Source organism: Homo sapiens, chromosome 4 (assembly GCF_000001405.40).
Source record: "Homo sapiens chromosome 4, GRCh38.p14 Primary Assembly".
Taxonomy (NCBI): Eukaryota; Metazoa; Chordata; class Mammalia; order Primates; family Hominidae; genus Homo; species Homo sapiens.
Genome location: NC_000004.12, coordinates 108869811 through 108886084, shown reverse-complemented (window position 1 = coordinate 108886084; position 16274 = coordinate 108869811). Strand labels below are relative to the sequence as shown.

At 36.7% G+C, this 16274-nt stretch overlaps 1 protein-coding gene across 11 annotated transcripts in view; it reads left to right on the top strand.

The window, feature by feature from the left end:
• COL25A1 (collagen type XXV alpha 1 chain) overlaps positions 1 to 16274 on the top strand; it is a 493934-nt gene that overhangs the window by 416574 nt on the left and 61086 nt on the right. For all 11 annotated transcript variants that reach the window (NR_045756.3, XM_011532335.3, XM_011532334.3 and 8 more), the window contains one exon: positions 1863 to 1907. Coding sequence is in view for 10 of the 11 variants with exons in the window: in XM_011532335.3 (XP_011530637.1) it covers positions 1863 to 1907 (45 nt within the window). In the remaining variant the exon portion in view is untranslated. The remainder of the gene's footprint in view (positions 1 to 1862; positions 1908 to 16274) is intronic.

Below are 16274 nucleotides of genomic sequence, written 5' to 3'. Positions count from 1 at the left end.
ATGATGTAGAGAAAAGTTAAATGCTCAATCTCTGTAAGTAGTCAATCTACATTATAAAATATTCCATAATGTCTTACACATCTTTTTCTTGATTAAAAACATGGGTGTGTGTCTATGTATGCATGCGTGTTTAAATAAATATCTTTCTTTAAAGTAATCATTCAATCCTTTCATTTGGTGGGAGGAAAAGAGGTGACGAGAACACCCGTTGGACAATAATGTTACAACCTACATACTTCCACAAATGTTTCAGATAGAATGTCTGCAAAAATGAGTTTGGGGGGACTTTTCTGAAAGAATACAAAGCTATAGATTTGCCATCAATACGTTTACTTTTATTAATTGTATATTCTATTGCAATTTACTGTTTTCAAGGGCCTTATACTTTTTTAACATAAAAGAGAATTTTCAGCAAAAAATATGTACAAGCTCTTTTTACTGGATCCTCTTAAACTCATTGATTGAAAGGTAAAAGAGAAAGTAAAAGAAGATCAAATATATAATGTTATATCTGTGTGAAATTTAATCTACTTGGACATTCTTTGAATGGAATAACAAGTTCTTGATAATCAGCCTTTCTCCTCTGGCTTAGTCTCATTTTAGTCTTATTGTTCACAATGCAAACCTTCATTTATATAGTTTCAGACAGAATCGTTTTTCTTTTGCATTCCTGAAGTAACTTTGACCTAAATCATCAAGAAAACCATTGTCCTTTTTTGGTCTAATCACACAGCTTAACAAGCAGTCTCAGACATCACTTTGTGATAACACCAGAACAAACTATGGTGCTTCATAATTTGAAAGTAATATTACTAAAGATGAAACTTCTGGTTGAACTTAGTGGATGTTCCTTGAAACCAGGATTGTTAAAGCATTTAGATGAAAGGAAATGCTTTCTTTTGTCACTTCACTGTTAGTTTAATGCTCCTGTGTCTTTTAGTATAGTTGTCATCCCACTAACTGGCCATCACGAAGTAGTATCACCCTTTTGCCTTCAAATGTTATTTCCACAAAAAATAATCACTTCAATCCAACAGAGAGGACTTTCATTTTCTCCTGAGATTCCTTTATACTTCTTTAGTAGAATTCAGGAGATTTTCTAAGCAATGGAACCTCTTATTATCATTCTTTGGGCTTAAAATAATGTAGACAACTCTGTGAAAATGAGAAGGTTAAGCTTGACTCCAATATGCTCACCCAAAATGTACTACTTAATCTCAAACCTGTATTCAGCAACAGCTGCATAGTACCATTAGCCCTAAGCTGCTAAGCAGGGTTGCTCAGACTCAACAATTGTCAGAAGTACAGACTGGAGTTAGGTTTAATCTTAAGTATTCATTTATCTTCTCATCATTCAGGAATGAAAAGGAAAGCTTACTATACTTTTTAAGTGAGCAAGACTTTTAATGAATATTGTTTTGATGTGACCATCTGTTCATACAGCCAACTCTTGATTATCTAAGGTGAGGGAATACTGGGATAGGATGCATTGTTGAAATGCACACATTATCTTCATTTGGGCAAATAGATTCAGCCTCCCCACCGAATCATTTAAGGAAGAAATAATGAAATATGGGAGTTTCTTCTCTTTTGACTCCTCTTTCTCGCCATCTGACGGAGATACCAATGTGCAGTGAACTGAAAGGAAGAGAGAAAATCCCAAAAAATCTGTGAAGAGGTCAACCCATTTCTAAATCAAGAGTTGACTGAATTGCATAATCTCATCAAAGTTTTTGAAAGTAGACGGTTTTTTTATTTATCTTTGCAGAAAGTATTGAGCCAGGAACATTTGCCATGTTTTTCTCCACATATTGTGACTGAGTGAATATCATTCTATAATGCTATATGATTTTCCTGTGTAGGGTGAACCAGGGCTTCCTGGGCTTCCTGGACTTCCGGGGATAAAGGTAAATACTGCACGGACAGTCTCGGCTTCACAGAACTGTAATTATGAGATTCACCCAAATTGGAGGAAAATAGGGAAAAATGGAAACTAAAAATAGAATGCTGTTCTCTAAGTACTCTCCAGCCATCTCAACTAACTAAATTTTTAAATTAAAAATTAAGCACAGATACCTCTAAAGTTTGCCATGGCAATATGGATTGTTTATTTCTCCATTTAACTTACTACTGCCCCTTAAATAAATGTAAATGTCCCTTCATTTGAAGTCACAGGAATTCTTTAAAGTCTAAAATGTCTCTTTACCTTCATATTTTAGTTTTATTCTTAAGACCCTATCAGATTTTGATCAGAATTAGAGTCTTAACATCCCCATAAAGCTAACATTTAGGCAGCTGTTTTTGTGATTCACTCATTATAATAATCTCTCTAAAACATTTATCTTCTACTTCCTCTCAGTAATTATCACTGCAAAGTACAAATCATATTACTAAAATATTTTGACCCAACACATACACTGTCCCCATAAACTTTCTAAATATCTTTTGAAATAATTGCTTAAAGCTTAGTTTGAAAACATTTGTTTTAAATGGATGTAAACCACTTAAAAATGTTAAAAACATTTTAAAAAATGTTTTGAAATTTTTTGCATGGCAACTGACAAGACTTAAAGTTCTACTGCCTTAGCTGTAGTTGCTCCTTTAAAATCAGCTTCTTATTTTAAAAGTTTTTTTATATATTCTAGAACTACTTAATAGGGGTTAACATAATGCAAATACATTTTCTTTTGTTGTTCTCATCTTACAAAGTTTTGAATCAATCTCTGTTGTACATTAGTCCATTCTAAACTTAGTATTTCTAGGCCGGGCACGGTGGCTCATGTAATCCTAACACTTTGGGAGGCTGAAGCGGGCGGATTATTTGGGTCAGGAGTTCGAAACCAGCCTGGCCAACATGGTAAAACCCTGTATCTATGAAAAATACAAAAAAAATTATCTGAGTGTGATCTCAGCTGCTCAGGAGGCTGAGGCAGGAGGCTCTCTTGAACCCGGGAGGTGGAGCTTGCAGTGAGCCGAGATCACGCCACTATACTCCAGGCTGGGCAACAGAGTGCTATTCCGTCTCTAAAAAAGAAAAATAAATAAAGTTAACATTCCTACTTCTAGTTTGAGAGTTGTGTATACTGTTTTATGAAGGTTCTGCTTGGAGTGTGAGTTATGTGAAATAATATGATTTTTAGGATAGATATATTATTGAGTTCTCAGAGGTCATATAATATGTATAATATTTTATGAGTATATTTGGTACAATTGATAGACATGAAAGCTATGTCTTCTTGGTTGGCATTCAGCAATTTTAGTTCTATCTTTTTGTTTGATGTTTCTAGATTAGTATCATAAAAGTTCAGATATGTCCTTTTAATAGATTTTTAGTCTTTGGCTTCTTTGGTGAAAAAGTAACACTCTATGACAACAGTTTACTAAACAGTTGAAGTCACTTCCTTATCATTTGATATTTAGCAAAAATAACTTCACAAATTAATAGGTGGTTTCATATTATAGAGTTAAATTATGGCATTTCTTAGTAACACACACACACACAAAGATGGCTTTTTACAAATAATGGGAAGATCATAAAAATTTAAAAACTATTTATTTAAAGTGATAAGAAAGTGATACTCAGCATTAATCAAAAATAACCTTGTAGCATTATAAATAAAGGGGAAGGCATTTAAAAGGAAGGGCTGAAGCAGGTTGCTGCAGTAAGTGCTTGTAGGTTATCGGGGTACCAGCTTCTCTTGCAGGAACCTCCGTGCTTTGAAATCTAGTTGTCCCTTCTCCTGAACTTGAAGCACTTTCTTGGAGAGAGAGAGTACTTGAGAATGTGGAATTGATTATCTCCCTCCAAAGGCAAAAAAAAAAAAAGCAATTTTGATTATACTATTTATCATCTTACTTTAGTCTTATATCCTCCATCACAAAAATATCCCACTGGACCCTCGGAATTTGCCTAGTCATCTGTGGACTAGTCAGAATGTTTTGAGCTTTTTGAAGTTGGGAGGGATGTTAAACGATTTGCCACCTCTAGCAAATGCTTTTATTCCTCAGGTCTTAGGAAATGGCCAGATGGAGTTTGTCGAGGTCAGGTAGCTCTGATATTTTCTTTTGTTTTTCTCTCCTTGACTGCTGACTATAGTGAAAAGAAGCTATTAATTGACAAAAACTCTTTTCATCAAGAGTATGTAGACATACTCTTCTACATAATTATCAAGTACTGTTGGGTAACTATCTGGTATTTGATTTAAATCTTAGGCTCTATTTTTGGTTTAATAAGCTTTGTCTTCTCTAATCAGGATGTGGGAGATACACTTTCCTTATAATGTAGTCAGTGCTCACTATAAATTAGTAATTTTGAAAAGGAGACAATTTAAAGATACGTCACAACTATTAGTGGTCATTGGATATTTATAAATGTAGAGCTAAAGGCTTAAATTTTATGACATAGTTTTCTTAACTTAGAATGTTCTTTTTTCCTTTAATTTACATTTCTTCTATTAGGTAGCCACCACAGGACAGTTAACTATGATTTCATAGTTTGAACGAGTAGCAGTATTTAAAAGATGAAACCACCATATATGGATATAGAATGTGTGGTAGCAAGCGCATTACTCATAATCTTCCTAGACCTGTGTGTTTCTTTATGCTTTGGAAATGCTTCCTGTTGCTATTCATCTCCTTCTTATCTGTTGGTGCTACAGAGAGCATGTGAATGCCATCCATTATTTCCAAGACTTTGAGGAAACCAGTCATGACATACCAGGGAAGCTTTGATTCACCAGCTGTTGCTCTCGGGGAATGGTTGGAAACTTAATGAGCATCCACATGCCTTCCACAGCTCTCAGGAAATGAGCCAAGTGCCTAAATACAGACAGCAGACTCATCTATCTATCACCTCAAGGTCCCACTCAGAGAAAAGTGCTAATACCTTAGGCATACATAATAAAAGTCACTGAGAACAGGCATAACTTAATTTCGAGCTACTCTTAAGCTTCCTGCAGAAGTATCCAAAAGTCCTCTTACCATATGGAAGACATTTGGAATTCCTATTTCGTGCATTCATGGTTCATATAGTGTCACGATGTTCAACTGGGAAAATTAAATTATGTACAATGTACCATGTAGACATTGATCTTCTGGAATAAGATTTGAGCCCAGAAAATTAGTTTCTGAAACAAGCTTTCACATATTTTTAATGGGTAAAATTATTGTAACCAGCTTTTCTGATATCACATAAAAGAGTAAGATTCTAAGTTCCTATTTTCTTAGGCTTTGCTCTCTACACTTATTTTGAAAAATGTAAATACATTACTTACCCCCTTTCTATGGTTATGTTGCCCTAGCAGTAAGCAGGATAGAGCAGACTTCATAACAGACCACCAATGTGCAGATCCTTGTCCGCCCCTTATCAATAACATAATGTGGGGCAACTTCTATCATCTGTCTGTACTTCAGTTTCCTCATAAGATGGGACTCATTGACCATAACTCAGAGAGCTGTTGTGAAAATTAAATGCACTAATACATGTAAAGTTCCTAAAATATTGCCAAGCATGTAGTAAATGCTGTGTCGGTTTTGATTATTGTTATCTCTTTCTTTTGGGGCAGCTCAAAATATTGGAAACATTGGTTACACACATGTTCTATACAATTTTTCCTCATGTAATTTTAACCTATAGGATGTAAAGCCATGTATACTCTGTAGGTTAGTAAATATAAATTCTGAAAACTCCTTTGCAGCGATGAGTGGATGTTACTTTAAGAGCAGTCAGGATCACCTGCTTTTTCTCCAAACATGACATCACACTATACCCTTTTCCTATTACCCAAATGTATCCCAGGAACAAAGGATGAAGAACCACAGTGTTATGGGGATAGGACATGGCACTGTCAATGTTCTTCTTCCTGGTTCTGTTCACAGGAAAAGTAAAAGCAAACCTTGACATGTAATGATGGAAATTCTCCAGGCTCCAGTCAATGTTACCTAACCCAAGACATTTTTCATAAATATAGATTTTTAGGCCAGGTGCAATGGCTCAAACCTGTAATCCCAGCACTTTGGGAGGCCAAGGCGGGTGGATCACCTGAGGTCAGGAGTTTGAGACCAGCCTGACCAACAAGGTGAAACCCCATCTCTACTAAAAATACAAAAATTAGCTGGGCGTGGTGGCAGGCAGTTGTAGTCCCAGCTAGTGGGGAGGCTGAGACAAGAGAATTGCTTGAACCTGGGAGGCACAGGTTGCAGTGAGCCAAGATCATGCCACTGCGCTCCAGCCTGGGCGATGGAGCAAGACTCCATCTCAAAAAAATAAATAAATAAAAATAAATAAATAAATATAGATTTTCAGCACTTGCTTTTCCTTCTTTCAACATGTACCACCAGGCCGGGCACGGTGGCTCACGCCTGTAATCCCAGCACTTTGGGAGGCCGAGGCGGGTGGATCACTTGAGGTCAGGAGTTCGAGACCAGCCTGGCCAACATGGTGAAACCACATCTCTACTAAAAATACAAAAATACCCGAGTGTGGTGGCGCATGCCTGTAGTCCCAGTTACTTAGGAGGCTGAGGCAGGAGAATCACTTGAACCTGGGAGGTGGAGGCTGCAGTGAGCCGGGATCATGCCACTGCATTCCTGCCTGGGCAACAGAGTGAGACTCCATCTCAAGAAGAACAACAACAAAAAAAACCCATATACCATCAGTTTATTTCACCATATTCAGAAAGCAAATTGGGGGAAAAAAAAACATGGAGCAAGGGAGGTGTAATACAGTAAAAAACATATGAAATCATTTTAGTGGCAAATACATTTTCACAGTAGTATCATGCTTCAAAGCTTGATATTTTTGTTCTGGCTTCCACATTAGTGAAAATTTGACATTAAGATCAAGAACTTGGGGACTAGGAGGGTATGAGACAGTAACTAACTCTTTATATCCCAGCATATGAAATCATTCTTGCCACTAAATTATATAAAGACTAGCTTTTACAGGTGGCAGAAGCATTTACTCTGGCATTCCTAGGATTAAGTACAGTGCTCAGTAATCTAATAGAAGCTTATCTTCTAAATCCACCAGAGATGAGGTTCCTTCCTCACAAACATCAGATCACATTTTAAAAATAGCAGAGAAAAACTTCTGAAGCAACATAGGATGTGAAATGAATTCCTAAAAGAGAAAAAGGAAATGGAGTACCGGTTAAACGAATAACATTGTGTTATCGTTACTTATAATTATTTCCTGTCTGCACAAAGTTCATCTGAGAAGTTGAATAATTGGAGAGTCAAATTAGGAAACTCACATAACCAGAAATCAGAGATTTTTAGCTGCAAGAATGAAACCTCCAATAAATACAAGGAATATGCTTTCATGATGTAAGCCAGTTAAGAAAAAAAAAGTCAGAAAGGTATGTTTTCTGGATTTTAAATAAACCTGCTATTATAGTTCATTTTCATCAGTGCCACCAAGATGTTTTAATTTACACTAAAATTTGATCCTTACGGGAAATAAATGTTTTGGGGGCAGACTCTACTTTCTCATTCTTTTTTCCCCTCAATAATTTTACGTATCAATCATTACCAAAACTGGCTGCCTGGTGGTTCTTATTACAACAAATGTTCTTACTGTAATCCTCAAAAGCAGGTATCATGCTGCCTTGAATTCTAATTAGCCTTTAAGCAAGAGGAATATTATGTGGCTAATGCATTCAGTGTCAAGACACGTTAATCAAGATTATTGGTGATGCTTTTGGCACCCAGGCAGATCAGCACATATTTTTTAAGCCCTGCTGTACTATTTATTGGGCAATGAAAACTGGATCTTCTCGGGGGTAATAAATATCATGGAAAATATTACCTGCTTTAACCTGGTATACTAGAGGTTTTTTTAGAGGGGTTAAAAAGTAATTTTTTTACTCCTTTAATTGATAATGACTTATAAAAATAAAACAAATGGTAAAATGAAAAAACCAGAGATTTTTCTATGGGCAACAGCTAATCAGTCAGGACATTCCGGCCACCATTCCATTTAGCAGACGGTAAATTCTGCAAGTTTATAGAGAAACACCTGATGAGTCATTTCTGTATGAATGAAGCTGTCTCCTCCTTTCTTACATTGACTAGTAATCCCATCTAAGTATTTGTTGATTCTTCTCATCATTATGTAAATTGGCAAAAGAGTGTTAGGTGAACTGTCCCAATAACCATTTTAGAAGATAAAATAAGGTCACCTGAAATACTTTCTTGCTATGTATTACATATGTGTTTGAAGAAAAGTCAGTCAAGATTTTATTATTGAATTCTAAGACTTAATGAGACCTTTGATGGTCATTGTTAGATTTCAGAAATGTCATGTTCCTAAGGAATTTTCCAGCTTTGCCTTGCCTTTCTGTAAAATAGAAGACCAGTTTTTGTTTGTTTCCCTTGTGGCTTCTAGAGATGGTAGTTGTTCATGTGTTGTTTTTTTTTTTATTTGTTAGTTTTTTGTTTTTTGGCCAGAAGACAGTATTTAAGCTGCTATCTCAGTAGACTATTTGAATTTTTTAAAAGTAATAGCAAAGGAGTTGAGGAGAAGTGGCTTCAGTCAAAAATCTTACCTTAAAGGTATCTATCTTATATAGAATGAATAGGACCCACTTTCCTATAGCTAAATCTTCTGTAGTTTACATCATTTCTGTGTGTACATATAGCCAGTTTATGGACACAAGAGGAAAGGAGAGAGAGAGAGGTTTAATGCTCATACACTAATTGACAATGGAACTTTTTGTTTCATGCAGAAACAGGATCCTGTTTCAAATATAGTGCACATTAGGTACTGTAGCTGATAGTCACTGAGCTTATACTACAAGATTGAAGTTATGACTGCCTAAATGGAAAGATCAGTGTGAGATGATGAGGCCCTCCGTAGTTGGTCATGTGAAGATACACCTCTGATTTCAGCTATAGTTATTCTCCACAGACTTGCTTCTGTATCTGAATGCGCCCTGGCTGTTTAAATCTTTTGTTCAAATTAGCAGCCTGTGTCAGATTTTCAGCTTGCGGCTGCTCCCAGCAGTTTACTGTCAGGCCTACACTGTGCTTTATCCTGAATTAATAGCATTTCTTCTTTCCTAACTGAACCCCAGGTTAGTTGCCAAAATCACAGCTATTCTATTATTCATCTTTTCTACCAGGTCAACAAAGGGAAATGTGCTGTAGTCTTAGTTTTGAGACCTGGTTTTTTAACTCATTGATGGTGAGCTATTAATTAATGTTAAGAATAACCAAAGGATAAAACTCATGAAACAATTCAGGAAGAAATCAGATGCAATATCCAGGAGAAGACCAGAAAATTAGACCAAATTTGTCTTCATTTTGGAATTTGAAGCTGCATTAGTCCTATGCTATAATAACACCAACAGGGCTGAGATATCTGTATTGTGGACAACCTATTCAGTCACTGGTTAGCATGTGGCTTGGGGAACAGAACAGGATGCCAGCTACTATGTATTAGTAATTAAAATTTTGGATTGTCTTAAGGGTTCTGATAAATAATGTTATATATATTTTATCCCCAGGTTTTGATTAAATCATAGTTCTGTACTGATTTTAAGGGTTAGATAATACATTGTTTAGATTATTCTGTTTGTCCCAAGAGTAGATCTAGTTGGAGATTTCCAGGACACATAAAAACAAAACAGAACAACAGAAAACAACAAAAACAAAGAGAACAGATTAAATCTGGATTTAATTTTTACGGTAATGTGGAAAGGAGGAGAACATTTTTAAATGCCTGTTCCTCTCTATTATTTCTCTCTCCTCTTGTCTTCCTCTCTCCCTCTCCTTCCCTCCCTCCCTGAATTCCTCACTACTCCTTCTCCTCATCCTTTTCTTCCTTCTTTTTACTATTCTCTCTCACCTTAGTTAGGCACTAACTTTTTTTTTTTTTATACTTTAAGTTCTAGGGTACATGTGCATACCCTGCAGGTTTGATACATAGGTATACATGTCCATGTTGGTTTGCTGCACCCATCAACTTATCATTTACATTAGGTATTTCTCCTAACGCTATCCCTCCCCCAGCCCTCCACCCGCTGACAGGCCCCGGTGTGTGGTGTTCCCCGCCCTGTGTCCAAGTGATCTCATTGTTCATTTCCCACCTATGAGTGAGAATGTGCGGTGTTTGGTTTTCTGTCCTTATGATAGTTTGCTGAGAATGATGGTTTCCAGCTTTATCTATGTCCTTGCAAAGGACATGAACTCATCCTTTTTTATGGCGGCATAGTATTCCATGGTGTATATGTGCCACATTTTCTTAATCCAGTCTCTCATTGATGGACATTTGGGTTGGTTCCAAGTCTTTGCTATTGTGAATAGTGCCACAATAAACATATGTGTGCATGTGCCTTTATAGTAGCATGATTTATAATCTTTTGGGTATATACCCAGTAATGAGATTGCTGTGTCAAATGGTAATTCTAGTTCTAGATCCTTGAGGAGTCGCCACACTGTCTTCCACAATGGTTGAACCAATTTACAGTCCCACCAACAGTGTAAAAGCATTCCTATTTCTCCACATCCTCTCCAGCATGTGCTGTTTCCTGACTTTTTAATGATTGCCATTCTAACTAGCATGAGATGGTATCTCATTGTGGTTTTGATTTTCATTTCTCTAATGACCAGTGATGATGAACATTTTTTCATGTGTCTGTTGGCTGCATAAATGTCTTCTTTTGAGAAGTGTCTGTTCATGTCCTTTGCCCACTTTTTGATGGGGTTATTTGTTTTTTTCTTGTAAATTTGTTTGAGTTCTTTGTAGATTCTGCATATTAGCCCTTTGTCAGATGAGTGGATTGCAAAAATTTTCTCCCATTCTGTAGGTTGCCTGTTCACTCTGGTGGTAGTTTCTTTTGCCGTGCAGAAGCTCTTTAGTTTAATTAGATCCCATTTGTCCATTTTGGCTTTTGTTGCCATTGCTTTTGGTGTTTTAGTCATGAAGTCCTTGCCCATGAGTTAGGCACTAACTTTGCAAGCAGCAGTGATCTCAGATCTGTCTCTTGGTTGCCTTCATTCATTCCCTTCCACACACTATCTATCCTCAGCACCAATGTGAGGAATCCCAATTGACTTTGTCATCTTGTTGTTCTCACTGATAACAAAAGTAAAAACCTAACATGCTATCTAACTTGAGATAGTGAGTGAACAGATGGAGAGATGGAGAATGTGGAATATCTGTGAAATGAGAGAAGAAATATGTATAATACCTGAGGGGAAAAAAAACGGATTAAAGTAACTCTGAAATAATTGGTGCTCTACCCAACTTATTCTTATGCTATTCATTGGTGTCCTGATATATGCAACAAGCCAGAGGTTTAAGTCTTTGTCTTTCCCTCATTTTTCTTAGACATTTTTGTTATTTTCTTTAAAATGCACTAACAGAACATTAACTTTAAAGATAAACACTTTCAGAAAATGTCCTACTTTATTGTTTTTACTTCAATGGTAGAGCTATTTTACTTGCAGTCTGCCTGTTTAAAACCACATTTCCCTGATAATGGGAGCAGGACATGCCCTTTTCAAAGGATCTCTGCTTTATGTTCCCATGTTATTTCTAAAATGGCTCATTTTGAAATTATGATTTAGATTTTGTAATTTAGGTAATTGCCCAGTAAAAAAGAAAAATAAAAAAAACCCTCTGGATTTATTTTTTTCCTTCATTAAAAGTAATGTTAAGTACTTAACTCCATTATAGTTCCAGTTTCCTCCGTCACTTTGTCTACTCAGACAAATACGTGTGGATAATTTTCAATTTACTACTCTCCTATGTCCCATTCATTAAGGGAGATTAAATATGTAAAACAGCTGTGATAATCATTATACATTCCAATATAAACAGTTATTTCTCCTGTTTGTTGCCATGAAAACTTATGTAAGCTCATTTTTATGAAGTCTGATTGACTCCAAAGATGATTTCCCAAAAGTCCTTTGCCTTTGAATCGTACTTCAGCTGCTTCCTCCCGCCTTCTTCCCCGACCTGGTCTCTTTCCTCTACCCTGGTTAACAGAAATTGTGACTAATTGGGACTATAGTATAGTAGTCATTTGCTTATGTTTTTATTACAAGAAAATATTTCTATAAACTTAGGCTGTCATTGCCTTTTGCCTAGACATTTTAGGAGATTCTAGAACCTTTAAACCGTACATCAATTCTTTTCAAAAAGATGGGTTTTTTTTTTAAGATTACATTCATTTAGGGAAATTTATAAGTAGGAACATTTTCTTCTTTCCGTCTTTGAAGGAAGAAAACTCATTCTTAGTAAACTCATCACTTTTCTATCTTACACCGTTCTGATGTGTTTTAAACCTCTTTTGGTTTTGCAATCTCAACTGCTCTGGCAGATGGATATTGTCTCATAAATTAATGACATATTCAACTGAGAAAATTTAGGGTTACTTCTTGAAAGAAGTTGAAGTAGTATTGAGTATAACCCTAGGCAGGTTAAAAGGTGACAAGAAGACACTTTGTATATTACCAATTAGGTTGCAGAGATGTTGTAACACTACTACTACTACTACTGCTACTGCTGCTACTGCTGCTACTACTACTACTACTACTACTACTACTACTACTACTAGACAGCTAACATTTGTAAGCCTGTAAGATAAGGGAAACAATAATAACAAGCATTTATTGCACACTGACTTAGTTCTAGGGAGAGGTTAAGTGCTTTGCTTGCAGTTTTGTATGGTAAGTCTTAACTAAGCCACACCTTAACAAAGCCAGAATCCTCTATTAAGACTCCAGCTTGAAAAGTCAGCCTTTAATAAAATTCTGCATTTTTGTTCTAGCAGTTCTTGAACTTTTTGGTCTCAGAATCCCTTTACATTCTTAAAAATTAGAATTGAAAGAGCTTTTGTTTATGTAGAATATGTCTTGTGTTATTTCTGCATTGGAAATTAAAGCTGCCTGGGGGGAGTGGCTCACACCTGTAATCCCAGTGCTTTGGGAGGCAAAGGCAGGAGGATTGCTTGAGGCCAGGAGTTCGAGACCAGCCTGGGCAACATAGCAAGACCTAGTCTCTACAAAATATTTAAAAATTAGCCAGGCGTGGTGATGCACAACTATAGTCCAAGCTACTCAGGAAGCTGAGGTGGGACGATCCTTTGAGCCCAGGGGATCAAGCCTGCAGTGAGCCATGATCATACCACTGAACTTCAGCCTGGGCACAGAGTGAGACCCTGTCTCAAAAACAAAAACAAAAGAAAAAAAAAAGAAGTTAAAACTGAAAAATTTCTAAAAATCAATTACATGTTAATCAAATAGTATGTTTTATGAAATATAACTGGTTTTTAAGACAAGATTTTTTAAAAAGAGCAGGAAGAATGACATTTTGAGAGATATATGTGTGTGTATATATGTATATGTATGTGTGTGTGTATATATGTATATGTGTGTGTGTGTGTGTATATATATATCAAATCTAATGCCTGACTTAATAGAAGGCAACTGGATTCTCATATCTGCTTCTGCATTCAGTTTGTTGTTTTCGTTGAAGTATATGAAGAAAAACTGGCCTCATGCAGATATGTAATTGGACAGGGGAAGGTTAGCCTATTCAGATAATTGTTGATATTTTTCTTAGCTACTATCCTAAACCCCACAAGTGGTAGTTTCTTAAAGGTTAGGTGCAACGTGGAATCTGGAACCATATAATAAACCTTTCTTTTTGGTTTGTTTGTTTGAAACAGAGTCTCCCTCTGTTGCCTGAGCTGGAGTGCAGTGGCGCAATCTTAGCTCACTGTAACCTCTGCCTCCCAGGTTCAAGTGGTTCTCCTGCCTCAGCCTCCCAAGTAGCTGGAGTTACAGGTGCATGCCACCATTCCCGGCTAGTTTTTGTATTTTTAATAGAGATGGGTTTTCACCATGTTGGCCAGGCTGGTCTCAAACTCCTGACCTCAAGTAATCCATCCTCCTTGGCCTCCCAAAGTGCTGGGATTACAAAACATGAGCCACCACGCCTGGCCTATTGAACTTTTCATACTCCGTGTATTCATGAAGGGATGAAAGTAAAAAGGCAAATAATGTCTTCGTGTTATTGTAAAAATAGTTTGACCTTAAAGACTTCCTGAAAAAGTCCAGAAATCTCCAGAGGTCCCCAGAGCACACTTTGAGAACCTCTGGTATAAGCTTAGGGAAGTAAGAAATAGCCCAACTAGCTGAACACCATGAGTCAACATATCCATGCCTTATTTACTTCAACAATTGTTTTTGAAGTCTGAGAGAGAAAAAAGGGAACAATAATTAACTCCTGCCCATCCTGCCAAGATATAGAGAGAATGGAGATAATGTTTCTAAAGTGATTCAGACCTCTGGAAGTAAATAGACGAAAACTGTGATCCTAAAATTAAGTATGTGGTTTTTCTCCTTGAATAAATCGAAATAAGAAGTGTATCAGAATGTATAGATACGGTAGATACTTTCTTAAAGTGGCATAATCAGGTATAATGTATCATGCTCAAAGCCTTTAAAATTAGCCAATCAGGCCCGGTGCGGTGGCTCACGCCTGTAATCCCAGCACTTTGGGAGGCCGAGACGGGCGGATCACGAGGTCAGGAGATCGAGACCATCCTGGCTAACACGGTGAAACCCTGTCTCTACTAAAAATGCAAAAAAATTAGCCGGGCGTAGTGGCGGGCGCCTGTAGTCCCAGCTACTCGGGAGGCTGAGGCAGGAAAATGGCGTGAACCCGGGAGGCGGAGCTTGCAGTGAGCCGAGATTGTGCCACTGCACTCCAGCCTGGGCGACTGAGACTCCGTCTCAAAAAAATAAATAAATAAAATTAGCCAATCAATATTAATTGTGCTAAAATCATTGAGATTGTCAAATGCAGTGCTAATTTTGTATCTAGAAATAAATTTTCCCCTGAATTTTCTGTTTCAAAGAACTATCGATGCTTTCAGCTAGCACATAAAAAAAAGAACTTTCCATACACTTACTAAAGGAAACAACATATCTTCTATTTTTTAAAAAGGAAGAAAAAAACAGTTTTACCTGGCAGCTGAGATCGCAAAGCCCTATTTATTTGTTTGTGAATTATGCACCTGCATGGTTCATCTTTTTATAAACTAAACACTAACCTGTATAAGAAATATGTATAAGAAATATGTTTTTGCAACATTTACTCTTTTTTTCTTCTCTTTTATTAGTATGCTTTAATGGTGCATCTATTTGTTTTTCTAAAGAATGAAATCATTTTATTTTCACTTGAATATATACAAGAATTCTGGTTTCCGTGTAAACTTTCAACATATTAACTTGCATTACATTTCCCTGACAGTAAGTTGTTACCAATGATACACATTGACTTTAACACAGCATTTCTCTTGGGAAGGGAGAGGAAATATTTATTTGTATATATCATTTTGTTAGGTGAAATATTTTACATGTAAACAGATGTATTCCTTATAATGTTTTTGTTTGACTTAAGTTAAACTCTTTTACTAGAAGTAGAATAATCGCCATTGATTTCTCTGAATATAGTTCAGATTTTCGTTTTAGGCCATTAAGAGATCCACCCAAAATTATATTTTCAGATTCTCCTTTCTAATAGTCGTAAGGGTATGGGACAGGTAGACTAGGGAGTTACAGAAAATGTGCAAGCAGTAAACCTAAAGCATTAGTTACTCACTCCTGCCTTTTTTTTTTTTTTCTTAGATCAGTCTCATGAGCACCAGGGCTAGAGATAAATACATTTGAGTTATATATCAATATATGTCTGGTGGTGGTGATATCCTTTTGTTCCCCACCCAATACCCAAGGTTTTTTATAGCATATTAAAAAAATTGACTTCTGTGAAAAATATTTGATGACATTTTAGTATGTCTTTTTGTTTTGTTTCTTTGAGACAGGGTCTTGCTCTGTCAACCATGTTGGAGTGCAGTGGCGCCATCACGGCTCACTGCAGCCTCAACCTCCCGGGCTCAAACGATCCTCCCGCCTCAGTCTCCTAAGTAGCTGGGACGACAGGCTCGCACCATCACACCCGGCTAATTTTTCATATTTTTTGTACAGAACGGGGGTCTCCCTATGTTGCCCAGGCTGGTCTCAAACTCCTGGACTCAAGTGATCCACCCACCTCAGCCTTCCAAAGTACTGGGATTACAGGTGTGAGCCACAGCACCCAGCCTGACATTTTATCATGTCTTATAAAACGTTTTCTCTATACATTGCTGCTCAGTTGCAAGTATCATGAAACAAAGGTTGAAATACTACTGCCTTAGAAAGAAATCAAATATATTTTAAAATATTAACAACTGCTCCAGAAATCATCCAAGAGGGGAAAAAAC